Source organism: Homo sapiens, chromosome 6, assembly GCF_000001405.40.
Source record: "Homo sapiens chromosome 6, GRCh38.p14 Primary Assembly".
NCBI lineage: Eukaryota > Metazoa > Chordata > Mammalia > Primates > Hominidae > Homo > Homo sapiens.
Window position 1 is genome coordinate 91,513,165 of NC_000006.12, and position 14,544 is coordinate 91,527,708.

General features: G+C 36.4%; 1 non-coding gene across 1 annotated transcript, besides 1 other annotated feature; it reads left to right on the forward strand.

Moving 5' to 3' along the window:
* Positions 1,090-1,139: an enhancer, noted in NCBI's record as "active region_24837". NCBI's record gives its function as "activates an Ori minimal core promoter by ATAC-STARR-seq in GM12878 lymphoblastoid cells {active_cell/tissue: GM12878}" and the evidence as "EXISTENCE:reporter gene assay evidence [ECO:0000049][PMID:35858748]".
* On the forward strand, positions 8,496-8,573 carry MIR4643 (microRNA 4643). The gene has a single exon (NR_039786.1). It is a non-coding gene; the product is annotated as a microRNA 4643 (primary transcript).
* Positions 8,574-14,544: the final 5,971 nt, after the last annotated feature.

Consider the following 14,544-nt stretch of genomic DNA (forward strand, 5'->3'; position numbering starts at 1 on the left):
CTCTCATTCTCTTTAAGAAAAACCTCATGTTTAGGAGAAAAACAAGCTTTATGAGAATAAAATGGGTTTAATTGATGTTTTCTTATTTTAAGCAGAATATTATAAGCTAAATAATGTCTGTAAAGTATGAAATATGCAGATGGGACATTATCTTTGACAAGAGCATCAAACCATGTCTCAGCTCTCATACTTTGGCGTACACACTTCTCTTTCATATGGTATCAAATTATATTATTATATGAGATGTATATTAATAATCTGCCTTTAGACACAATTGGGCTTGATTATTTGCCATAGCTTACTACATAAATTGTGCAAGTACTATAACATGAATGCTAGCAAATTGCCAAAGGCAAGAAAGAAATTGGGTCATTGAAAAATTGTGTTGGACTCCTCTTTTGTATTATTCCAAATTTTCTTAGCCCCAACTTCAGCCGTTGTAGTGGGAATTATTTATGTACAAGCTTCAATCAGATTCTAACAGGGGCAACCTGAGAGGACATCCCTCTAGGCTTGTGTAGTCATACTTCCTGCCTACTTTATGTATTAGACTGTTCTTAGGCTGCTAATAAAGCCATACTTGAGACTGGGTAATTTATAAACAAAAAGAGGTTTAATGGGCTCACAGTTCCATATGACTGGGGAGGCCTCAAAATCATGGCAAAAGTTGAAGGAAGAACAAAGTCACATCTTACATGATGGCAGGCAAGAGAGCATGTGCAGGGGAACTGCCCTTTATAAAACCATCAGATCTCGTGAGGCTTATTCACTATCATTAGAACAGCACTGGAAAAACCCACTCCCATGATTCAATTACTTCCTACCGGGTCCCTCCCACGTCACGTGGGGATTATGGGAGCTACAATTCAAGATGAGATTTGGGTGGGACAAAGCCAAACCATATCACTGTCCTTGAGCTTCTTTGAAACTATCTCATAGAACATGTTGGAAATAAATAAATAGATAAATAAATAAAACTAACAAAAAAACAGCCAATATTTATTCACATGTGACATATGGAAGTATGGGAGTATTGATGTCCATGAGGGCATCTTGATTAATGGGAGACTGAAGCCTGTGACGATGATGCTTCTTTTTGTCTCCTATATGGATGGTTTAGAGATGCACTTCATAATGCTCCTCAGAAGATCCAGAGTACACCAGTGGCCTGTAGCGGTGGCGATGTAGTCATGCATTCTTGATTGGCTTTCCCTGCTTCTGTCTCATATCTGCTTCACTACCTTTGCCCTGTGGCCTAGTATCACTTTCTGAAGCTGCCTGTGCTTGTGCTTCCTCTACTCTTGGGAGATCCTAGAGTAAGACAAACTGATTCCAAATCGGTGATGCTTTTTAGCATTGAAGGCTGTGTAGAGATAATCAATTATTGAGGCATTAATAAATTCCAGAATTTAATATAACAAATTATAACACTGAGATGAAGACTTTGATTTCTTGTTCTCAGTTACCTCCATCTTTGTCTACATGATCTGGGTGGGGCAGAAGTGATAGACAAAAATCCTCTGCTATGACTGGTCTTGATAATGTTCTGGATAGCAGAGCAGCCCAGAAAAGCTATTCTCCTTATTCTAAACTCTGGAAGTTGTAACCCGAAGGATTACTCTAACATTCTACCATGATTGTCGATTTAGCTTAAATTTTTCTAAAATTTTTAGTAGTGGAAATAAATCATGGTTTTCACATAACACCTACAAAAAGACCAAATGATAACTCTAAAGGATATGACATATGAAAACTATAAAATATCATAAAATTAAATATTTGAATGGTAAATGAGCTTTTAAGAGACTAGAGAATACATTGCATAATTCAATTTCATTTTATATTTTAACTCCCTTATTGTGGCTTCGGTATTATTACTGTCCTTGATTAACATTTGTGAGTTTAATTTTAAGCAGATTTTCTTATATAGCCTGAATTTTTTATATTTATTATTTGTATAATTTGAAATGGATGAAAATATTTAAAACAAAACAAAAGTATAGAGTAAAAACCCTTCCAATATTATATTAAAGGAGACTGTAATTTCAAAAGAAAATATTTGCAGTGAAATTTTTAGGCTAAGCCACATTACTCTTTACCATCAGAAAGTCATTGTGAAATTTTATGTAAGAAACGAAACAATTATTTTATTTCCTGGACTTCCACTTAGGTCATGTTAATAGATGTAGTCCAACAATTTTGACCAAATGAAATATTTAATCAACTAAGTCAAAATGTTGAAATTTTATGTCAAGATTTATATTCAATTCCTTAAAAACAACTGAGTATAAGTCAAAGTTGGCTCTAAAACTCATATAAAATTTAAAATATAGAATTTTAGATGTTATCAGGCTAAGGTTTAACAATAAGGGTGTACTAAAATCCTAATTTGTTATAAGTAGGATATAATTGAAAGGCAGCAGAGACACTCTCCTCCACAAAACGCTTTCTTTCCTTACTTAATTCTGCTTGCCTGACAGAGTTGAGGTCAGAAATAAAATTAATACAAATGAAGAGTTAAGTATTATGCATGGCACATACTAGGCCTTTTACAAATAATAATTATAATTACTATTGTCATCACCATTTCTATACCTCTGAACAACATAGCTGGGAAAGATGTAATTTCCATAATGGATGCCCTGGCTTTAAAAGGAAAGGATGAACTGGAATCTTTTTATTCTCCATCTCCTGATAACTCAATTGAGGATGCCGTGTAATAAGAATGTCTCATTTTTTAATGTGCTGTGAACTTGTGCCTACAACATTGGCGGGAAGGTTCCATACCTCTGGAAAGCAGGCGCGGCAGAGCTGCGGGGGATCCTGATGTGTGAAACTCTGAGCTGTGGGCTGCGTTTTCATTAAGTGCATTTTGCTTTCCTGCTGCTTTTCTTTCTAAGCTCCACCCTGAAAAGCACAGGCCTCTTTAGCAAAATTAAGGAAAAAACAGAGTGATCTCTCTTTGGGCAGTAATCGTGTGAAACAGATTAAGAAATACACTTGCTCATGCCAGCAGGCAGCAACTAAATAATGACAAATGTTCACAGACCCAAATCGCAGGACAAAGGCAGCGTGCAATGTTAGTTGTCATTATTATCTTTACCCACAAAGGTGTATGTGTGTGTGTTGAGGGGAGGGGAAGTGCAGAGAAACAGGAAAATAATTAAAAGGCATATATGGAAAAATGATAAGTTTGTAGAACAGGGGATTTTCTCTTGCCAAAGTCACAAAAAAAATAATTCCACTAAAAATACATAGCAGAAGTTTTTTGACCAAGCTACCTTTCCAGAACTGATCTCGGTAAGTCAGGGTAATGGTCTTGAAGTTGTCTCAGGATAACCTTCAGCACAGTTGAAGATGGTTAATTTTTCCTCTCCTCTTCTTATGTCATTACAACCAGATTTTTCTTTTGGGGAAGAATTTGTCCCAGGCTGAGGCAAAGTAGAGAGCAGTGTGGCTTTTTTTTTCCAGTTTACCTCAACTTCTTATTTTTATATGTCAGGTAGGAAGGGAAGAAAATAAAAGCATGGAACACTCAAAACATGAGGAGCTGTGAAATTTTGTTTGTGGCCTACAAAGCCTCCTCTCTGTGCTGACCACAGTGAATGAAAGCAGGCTGAGGACACTATTCCTGGAATGGTGTGTCTGAGGGAAACTGCTGGCCAGTACCGGTCACCAGCATCCTAGATTCAATTATTCAATGCAGTATTTAACAAAAGTTAACTAGAGGAGGGCCATTGAATCCCTAGACTGTCCCTGAGTGGGCATAGGTTTGTCTCCTTGGGAAAACAAATCCAATCTTATTAAGACACAGAGAGACCATCAGAGTTAGAATGAAGTCTTTTTTTTTATTTTTTATTTTTTATTTTTGAGGATGTGATCTCAGAAAGAGAAGAAGCAAATCATCAGTGAGGGAACAAAATAATCTTGTTGCTCAGGGTCTGTCTGTGTATCAGAAAATAGAAGAGTGCATGGGTAAGGTAACTTCAAAATCAAGGTTTATAAGACCACGAAGAGACCTGTAGGAGCTATGGAAGCCGCAAGAGCTTCAGAAAGAATGATGGTTCCAAATCAGGAGGAATTCCTCTGGATTTTCTCGTTGATAGGTGCCATAGGTGGCACCCTAATGGGTAGGGGGTAACATCTAGAAATATTGGGGCTATGTGAAAAGGCACCAGATGAACCAGCTAGCACGGTGCATCTGACCATGCTGTAAAGAATTCAAGCCTGAGAGTAATGACACTGGCCATGAGCAGAGTGAGGAGGGCCTGCCACATGAGAGACCAGGGCAGTACAGGGATGGCTTCAGGCACTGGAACAGCACCTTTGGAAAACCTAGAACATTGTTCTAATGGTGGGTGTGCTTCTTCCCAAAAGGTGTTTTGAAAATTTACGAAGGCATTTTTTATTGTCACAGATTTGGGGGAAAGAGCCATTTACCGGGAGACTCTGGGTTGTCAGCCGTCCAGCATTGAAAAGGAAAAACAGCATGTTGAAAAATTGTCTTAACTTTTTCAGGATTTTGAAATATCATATCAGATATTTTTGTGGATCACAAACCCCTTTTAATATACTGAGTCTAAAACATAACTCCTTTATACATGTAAACACAAAGTAATTTTTTGTCTGAACATATGTACTGAATATAATGTAATGGAATATAAATATTGTATGACCTAGAGAAGATTGCATTTTAATTTGTTCAGAACTTTAAAAGAATTGTCATATAACAGAAAATCCCATTACCAAAACTGTCATCATAATAGAATTTGAGTAGCCAATACACCTCAATCAGCAGGCTTTTGTAGCTCTTTCATTCAAAGTATTTCTAATAGATACAAACATACGACCACTTCATTTTGTATTCTAGCGCAGTTCTTAAGCATTTACATGTGAACTATACATTATTGTATGATAAATTACATCCCTATTTCTCCTTTACATGGCATGATGTTATATTGATTCTTTGAAATTGTACGTACTGGTTGATTATATTATCTATGAATTTGATTTCAGAATAGTAGAGAGGATGTCAAATATTTGTAATGAAAGAAAGTAGGCTTGATAAGGCAGAGAATCCTTTCCCAGGTTCTGTAATACTAGAAAACATTCCGTGGGAGATACTAAGAAAGAAGAAGACACTTTGAAACTTTAATTTCTTGATCTTATTCTATTGCAAATGTAGTGTACTGCCCATGTTTTTCTTTAAATTTCATCAAGAGAGTTTTGATTTGTGGAATTTCTGGTAGTTTTGTTTCTTATAGGTGAAAATGTCATTACCTTTATTTTGGGGAATTCATCAGGGCGTGCCTTTTATTACACAGAAGAGAGGCAAACACAACATAATTGTTCTGAAAAGGAAAAGGCATAGTTATCTCATGTGTATAGTATGTACCTTACCTGCAAAGTATGCAGGCTGAGTGTATTGTTTACTAATGCAATTTGAGGTAGCATCAACTGGGACTAATGCAAATTGGAGGTATCATTATCAACTGTGACTTTGGAGATAGGAAAATCTGATTTTCCCAAACCCAATGATTATTTATCCCTGATCTGTGGTTCCCTAACATGGAATTATTAGTGATAAAATCAACAGTGCTGTGGAAAATGTATAGCAGTCTATGGTACCTGCCCTCCTGGGTCTTGGGGAACACACTGTATTTTATTTTACACAATCCTAGAAAAAAGGCCTTGATGTCCTATTAAGTTCATCATTAAAGGAGATAAAACTAAATATGATGTAACTAATATGTTCCAAAAATAGTAAAATGGGACATATAGTTTAGATAACATGTACTTTTTGGTTATCTAATTAAAAAGTTCTTTTTTGAATAGTTGTTGCCAGCTTACATCATCTGGAGAGGTTTTTTTTTAGATGTTTCATTGATTTAATTGTTTACTGTCTAGAGAACAAATTTAGGGCTGTTTCATATTCCTAACTATATAATCTAGAATCTGGAGCTCAGATCTCTGACATGTTTTCTATATGTTCTGCACAGACATCAATAGGTACAGAAAAGGCCTACTTTGATTAATCAAACCAGTGAAATTTTTTTCTACACACTAGCAAGCTGAACTTTAGCTGAAGGAGAAACCAAATAAGAACTTGATAAAATGGGATGGGATGAACTAGATGAGGGTAGAATTAAAACAGGACACTGTGAATTATGATTGTGTGATCCATCACCCATTTGCTTTGCCAGGAAGCTGAAAAGTTTTTACTGAGCCTCGCTGAAGGTAGGAGGTTGGATGGGGCAACTTTTTTTTTTTAATCCTTTGAGCCCAACCTGAAATGAAAACAAATTATAATCAAAGAAGTTCCACACCCACATGTTTTCATTTTTTTACTTTTTGTTCCACATATATATTTCCATATATGGATTCCACTCCCACATTTTCACTTGGGAGCCAAGAATTTTAATGATGGAAGTTATTAGAAATGAAACAGAGAAAAAGGTTATATACAGAATTGAAAATAATTTCTGTTTAAGTCACCTGTAACTATTCACTGCCTGACATAGATTTCTTGTGTTTAAGTTAAGAACAGTTCCCTGTCCTTTGGGTATGTCATTTCGTGTGAGCATAGACGTAGTGCAACCATTATTCAGGCTTAGAGAGCTTCTGATAATTGTTCACAGCACAAACAAACAAAAACACAAAAGACCTAACACATCTCTGGAGGCTAAAAGGTAACATGAAGTACTTAAGGATGGGCCAATAAAGTACACATTATAGAACCAGAAAACCCCATATCATTGTTTTCAAGCATATTGGTCTGAAATATATACATATATAATTATTTTGTTTCTTTTCTTTTTCTTTCCTTCTTTCTTTCTTTCTTTCTTTCTTTCTTTCTCTTTCTTTCTTTTTCTTTCTTTCTTTCTTTTGTCTCGCTCTCTCTCTTTCTTTCTTTCTTTTTTTTTTTTTTTAGACAGAGTCTTGCTCTGTCACCCAGGCTGGAGTGCAGTGGCGCAATCTTGGCTCACTGCAACCTTCGCCTCCCGGATTCAAGTGATTCTCCTGCCTCAGACTCCTGAGTAGCTGGGATTACAGGCATGCGCCATCACACCTGGCTCATTTTTGTGTTTTTAGTAGAGACAAAGTTTCTCCTTGTTGGCGAGGCTGGTCTTGAACTCCTGACCTCAGGTGATCCACCCACCTCGGCCTCCCAAAGTGCTGGGATTATAGGCGTGAGCCACCATGCCCAGCCAATTTTGTTTCTTTTAATATTGAATAGAGTATGACTCAAGCCCCTTCGTATTTATTTATTTTTATAATTTCAACTTTCATTTTTAATTTAGGGGGTATATATGCAGGTTTGTTACATGGGTCTATTGTGTGACACCGAAGTTTGGGGTGTGAATGATCCCACCACCCAGATAGTGAGCATAGTACCCAACTGGTAGTTTTTCAGTCAAACTACCAATTTTGGTTATGATTTGTTTTCATTTCAGGTTGGGCTCAAAGGATTAAATAAATAACAATTTTAAAAAATTTTAAAAATTTAAAAAAAGTTGTCCAATTCAACCTCCTACCTTCAGCGAGACTCAGTTAAAGCTCTTCAGCTTCTTGGCATAGCAAATGGGGGATGGATCACACGATCACAATTCATAGCATCCTGTTTTAATTCTACACCCATCCAAAGAGTTTTTTCCTCTCTCTCCGCTCTAGTAGTCTCTGGTGTCTATTGTGTTCCTCTTTGTGTCCATGTGTACCCAGTGTTTAGCTCCCACTTACAAGTGAGGGCATGCAGTATTTGGTTTTCTGCTCCCATGTTAATTCCTTTAGAATAATGGCCTCCAGTCTCATCCATGTTGCTACAAAAGACATGACTTCATTCTTTTTTATGTTAAGCCTGTATATAATTGTGGAAAGTAAAAGCCCTCTATAATTCTCTATAATTGTGGAAAGTGAAAGGTCTTTACCATAAACATTTTTAAACAACTTTATCAAGATATAATTCACATAACATACAACTTTCCCATTTAAAGTATATAATTCAATGGTTTTGGTCTATAACATTATTATTTAAAAAAAGTCTTCTCAGATTGTTACATTTTAAAAAGTTTTTAAATTATGATTTAATTTGCTATTTTAATCATTGTTAAGTGCATGGTTCTGTGGCATTTGTCATATTCTCAATGTCGTACTACCATCACCACTATTTTCAAAACATTTCATTACCCCAGAAAGAGTATTTTAAGAGAAACTATCCCTCTTGATTCAGAAAATGTAAGCCACAATTTTAAAAAATTAAAGTTCCCAAACTAGAAAGAAATATTTTAATTTTTTTTCTGTGAAGGATAGTAACTCTTATAGGGAAAAGGAAAGAGGAGTTTGCTGTGACCACTAGGAGGTCACAGTGGAATGTCTGCATACTTCCACCAATGTGACTACACGGCTGCCCTTTCCACCAATGTCACTTACACAGCTGCTCATCCTTTCAGATTCAGCACAAGCATGTTCATTACGTTGTATTGTGCTCATTAAAGTATGTGTGCCCTAGCATTTATAATCATGTGTTCATTCACATGATCATAAGTGGACACATGACCATAAATGCTAAAGCACACTTACTTCTACAACATACTGAGCTCACCTCACAGGTATAAACAAAAACATGCACACAAATGTGTATTGAGAATAGACAACTAAACACAGAGGAAGCTTATGTGTACTGAGAGACAAGTGAAGAAGGAATATGCCAACTAGAAAGAAGAATGTTTGGAACCTAGAGGGAAAGTAAATTTTATGGTTTTAAATGTATCCACAGGTTTTTTATATTCCTCCCCTCAAGAAGTAGACTCCAATTCTCTTCCTTTTAAATATGGGCTGGTCTTACAAACTTCTTTCTCAAGATTAAAATGCAGAGTAAATAAGATTGCTGACTTCTGAGACTAAGTTTGGAAATGTCACTCAACTTCTGCTGAGGTTCTGGTTCATATTTAGAACCTGGCCTCCATGCTGTGAGGAAATCCAGTCTACATGCAAAGACTATGCAGGAATGTTCTGGCCAAAGGCTCCCCATAAAGTTCTAGCTGACAGCCAGTCATGACCCATCACCAGACATGTGAATGATGATGCTATCAAACCAACTCCAGCCACAGGATCTGACTAAAACCTCATGAGAGGCACTGAGCAACAATCACCTAGCTTATCCTTCTCAAGTCCCAGAATCATGAGAGATGACAATAATAAATGATGGTCACTTTTATACCATTAAATTTGGGGTAATTTGTTATGCAGCAGAAGGTAACCAGGACAGTAAATGAAGTGATAACATCAGGATAGGTAAAGTGAGTTAGATGGGGAGTCAGCAGCAAAGGTTAGGAATAAGGGTAACTTCCCCATATTTTCTTTTCTTAAAATAGAAAGAAGAAAGGAAGGTTTTTAGATTATTGTTTATTTATCTTGCTTTTTTAGTATAATTGATTATCAAAGATTTCAAATGAAAATGAACTTAAAAGTCTGTATAAATAGTACAGATCATGAAGATTTTAAGTTTCTCTATTTCTCATTTGTTGATTAGGGCATATTTCCTAGCTTTGGAATGAAATTTTTGTTTGGCATTTTAATTAATAAACACATCTCATAAACACATAACTTGTGTCATAACTAACTTTAATTATTTTGTTCATTAAACAATATTTGTTAGCATTTATTAAGTGCTGGGTATTCTGCTAGGGATATAATAGCTAATAAGATATACTCCTCACAGTCAAGGAATTTATAAGAAAATCTTATGGGAGAGACAAACAAGTAAACCAGCAATTATAGTAGCAAGACCTACGTATGGATAGAAGTACAAAATCTATGGCACCATATAGGAACATCTCAACAGCTCTTGAGAAAATGTTGAGGAGGTGTCAGGGAAGGATCATTAGAGGGACTCATGGCTATGCTGACACCTCAAGGGAAGAAACTGAGTTCAACCAGTGAAGCTCTAGAGGTAGTTGAGGAGGAAGACTAACAGTATGGGCAGGAGCCATAGACTGTGCAGAAACCTGGAAGCAAGGATACATGTAACAAATTCTGGGAACTGAAAGTGTCTCATTATGGCTGGAGAAGAGATCACAAGGCAGAGGCTAAAGAGATACAATACAAGGGGGTACCTCTGTGAGGTTAATAATTTTGAACTTTATCCTGAGAGCGTTGGGAAGCCATTGAATGCTTTAACCAAGAGAGAGACATGATGAAATTTGACTGTGATGTAAAAAACATATTCGAAAGAGGCAAGACTAGATTCTGGCAGACCAATCAGAACACTCTTGCAGCAATTCAGGTGACAGAAGACAAAGGTAGTAGCTTGAAGTTGTGTAGGAAGAATCACCCTATGAGGAGGGAACAGAGCTATTGTTCACTCACAGCCCAGAGAGCCTCAGCTCTGCATGAAAGCCTTTTGGACATGGATAAAACAAATTGCAAGTTGGTAATCTAATTTCAGGAGGGACAGATCCTGGATGTGTATTTCAGAGTGCTAAAGTCTATCCAGAAACTGATACCCATGTGGCATTCTGGATCGAATGCCATATGTGTTGTAAAAGCAGACAGGTGCTTTGATAAGCTAGCAACAGATTTTAACCACAAAAATTCTTTTTTAATGAGAAATCTGTGCCACACCAGTAACTTATACGAAAACAAAGATTGGTGTGTATGTATCTGCGTGTCAAATGAATATTCATGCCTATGATTCACTTTAACATTTTCACAATCTGACCTTGAATGAAGAGGTCAGGGCACCACTCATTAAAAAATGATAAGGCTTTCCATATGAGCTTACATGGTATTGCAAATTGGAATTTTTTCAGCCTCTTTTGAGAATGATTCCCTAAATTAGGATAGTGTATGAGGTGTTAACAATGTCCGTGTGCTTTGAATGAAATCAACACCTATAATATACAGTAACATTTTTAAAGCATTACATATGTGTAAATATGTTCATGTGTATGTGACGTATATGCATTAAATAATTATGTGGAGGATACATATGTATATTTGTAGGTGTGTAAATGTGGGGAATGAGCAAACTGAGCCACTCAAGACCTGAGTCTGCTTTAGTGCATTCACATAAATTCAATGAGAAATTAAAGTAATTCTTTGCCAAAAGAGTGGCTGATATGATAGGACAACTGCTTTCTTTTGCTACTACGAGAACAAATTAACACTACTGTAGGGATAGACAAGGAGAAGTGGTTTGCAGTGATTCATACAATAAATAACCAATGTATCTGTAGCTATTGTCATTGAGCCAAAAATGCTTTCATTTAAATCATGTATACTAATTACTGAAATTGCCAGGGAATCATTAAGAATAAGTATTTATAGAAATTCAAAAGAGAAATTTAGTGTTGCTATAGATTTCATATTTGTATTGTTTATTTCACTTTATATTTGAATGTTTTGAAGAGAGCTTAATCTAGGGTTTGAAAAGACAGATCAGGATGTTGACAAACAGGTGACCTTTCTGACGGGGTTGGGTGTAAATACTCATTATAATTGGACAGTAGAAATTTACTGTTTTGCATGTTGTATATCATGTTTTAATCTTTTAGGTACAAAATATTTATCATGTTAGTCCAAACTGAAAAAAAGCAGACAAGAACAAAAATTATTGACTATTTACCATGTGCCAGACATTGTCAGGTTGTCCCAGCAATCATCACAATTACACTGTTAATTGGTTAAAATTCACATCATTTTCAAAAGACCCATTTTAGACTTTTTTTAGTCTAAGCCATTTTAGTCTTTTAGGCTTTTTTTTAGTCTAACCTTTAAGAGGTTACAACTACCCGAGTGGCTCTAGTCAGTAAGTGCTGGAGGTGGGATTCAAAAAGACATCTATCCAATTAGATCTCACCCCTTGCTACTTACCTCCCAATTTCACTGGGTGGCCAAGGATGTCATTTTTCTATTGCTAGATACAAATATAAATAAATATCCAAATAAACAGAATCTGAATTTTGTTTTTCAAAAATTACAGGATGTTTGAACTAGAAAGGAACTTGTAAATCCAGTCCAAAGGCCCTACTTTATAGAGGAAGCAATTGAAACTCAACAGAGAAAAAAGCGATTGACTCGATGTCATTCCTACTGTTGGTAGTGGACTTGCAAGTAGAATTCTCATCTCTTGAGCCATGCTAGAAACCCACTTACCATGACATAAATCAGATTAATGAATATCTAATGGTCGTGAGATTAAAGGTGTATCTAAACCAAACATGCCCTGTTTTGCCATGTTTCAATTTTTAGTTTTACTTCTCAGCAAATTGTGGTCTATAAAGATTTGAATGCTTTCCTTTTGAGTTTCTTTTGCTGGGTTTTTCATTAATTCTTTTTACTGTAGTATAAATGTCTAAAAGTAAAACAAAACAATAACAATTAAATTAATATGCAAAAATGTTAAATTTTATGTGCCTGGTTTAAAATGACCTTAGCCTAGCATGGCTTAATGCAGTGTTTGCCAGGACTTCCCTTCTTCTCTCACAGATCAATTAAATTCCTTTACTCTACGTACCCTAGGATGTATCACTCTTTTCTATTCGTCGTCATTCTCTCAGCCATGCCTGAACTATTATGATCAGGTTTTGGTTATAAAGATACAGCATTTTAATTTTAATTTAATTTTATTTATGAGACAGAGTTTTGCTTTTGTCCCCCATGCTGGAGTTCAATGGCGCTATCTCAGCTCACTGCAACCTCCACCTCCTGGGTTCAAACAATTCTCCTGCCTCAGTCTCTCAAGTAGCTGGGATTACAGGCACGTGCCACTATGCCCAGCTAATTTTTGTACTTTTAGTAGAAATGGAGTTTCACCATGTTGGCCAGGGTGGTCTCGAACTCCTGACCTCAGGTGATCAACCTGCCTTGGCCTCCCAAATTGCTGGGATTACAGGCATGAGCCACAGCGCTTGGCCCAAAGATACAACATTCTTTAGTCTGAGTTTCAGATACTGTTCATTCTGAGGTAGAACCTGCATTTGGCAACTCAAAATATTCTTGACCTCTGTCCACAGAATTTCCATGAACTGATGTAATACAATAAATATACATAGAGCCGAAGTTCCCAACTCTTCCTGGTTTGCCAGAACCTTCTCAGTTTTACCATTAAAAGTCCAGGTCCAGGAAAAGCCCTCCATCTCAGGCAAGATGGGTTTAAAACAAATGTTCAGTTATATATTCCATATAATTACTAACTTGGTTTTATAAAGAACCCTACTGTTTAGACAAAGTAGAAATTATCAGCACAGTTTTGCAAAATTGTTTATATCCCAGTTCCATAATTAACTCTATAATATTAGGGACCACATAGACTTTTTATGTTTCAGTTTAATTATCTGTTAAAAATAAAAGCCACATGGCAAAATAAGTGACCCATATGTCATCTGATTACTCACTTACTCAAACTCTAGTAAAGGCTTACTTCTAGGAGATACGTGACATGCTTCAGGTAATTATTCTAAGGCCTGCTGCCCCTAGTATTGTACCCAGCTACCTCTTTTTGTACAGTCTCCATAATTCTTTCAAGTTCCAACTCCATAATCCTTACCTGCTGGTCCCCTGGGTATCAGCACACATAGCATCCATGGGGCCTGGCACAAAGGACTTCCACTCCAAGCCGCAGCTTTCTATTCTAAGAGGAAAGAAGTTGGGATACCTGTCTCCTGGCTCTGCCATTTACAAGCTGCATAGCCTGCATCTATCATGATTTCCTTTTTAGGGCTCTCTAATTTTATCAGTTCTTAGAAGGGAGATGGGGCAAAATTATCTTTCAGAATGTGCTAGGATTGTCCCTTCTCATATAACAAGTGTGTGAAAATTAGCAGAATGCTTATTAGATTATTCATTTAAAGCACTTGAAGCAATTTCTGGAACATAGTCTGGCATTAGGAGGTTAACTATTATAATCATCTGGGAAAACCCTAAGAAGAAATGGGTTTAGAAAACTTAAGTGAGGTATAAAGACAACTGTGAAATATGTACAGATTATTGTTACAGATTATTGTTAACTCTTTTAAAATGGTTATTGTACAATATACGGTATTATACTCTATGTTACTGTATAATATATTGTGTAATACCATATAGTATACTGTGTACTCCAACATTATATATTATACTGTATAATACTACATATGTATGCTGGTTAAAATGAATGATTCAGAACCTAAGAGAGTCCTCAAATTCATTTGGAATTATTATCATTATTATTATTACTATTATTATACTTTAAGTTTTGGGATACATGTGCAGAACATGCAAGTTTGTTCCATAGGTATACACATGCCACGTTGGTTTCCTGCACCCATCAACCCGTCATCTACATTAGGTATTTCTCCTAATGCTATCCCTCCCCTAGCCCCCTAACCCCCATCCGGCCCCGGTGTGTGATGTTCCCCTCCCTGTGTCCATGTGTTCTCATTATTCAACTCCCACTTATGAGTGAGAACATGTGGCGTCTGGTTTTCTCTTCCTGTGTTAGTTTGCTGAGAATGATCATTTCCAGCTTCATCCATGTCCCTCCAAAGGACATGAACTCATCCTTTT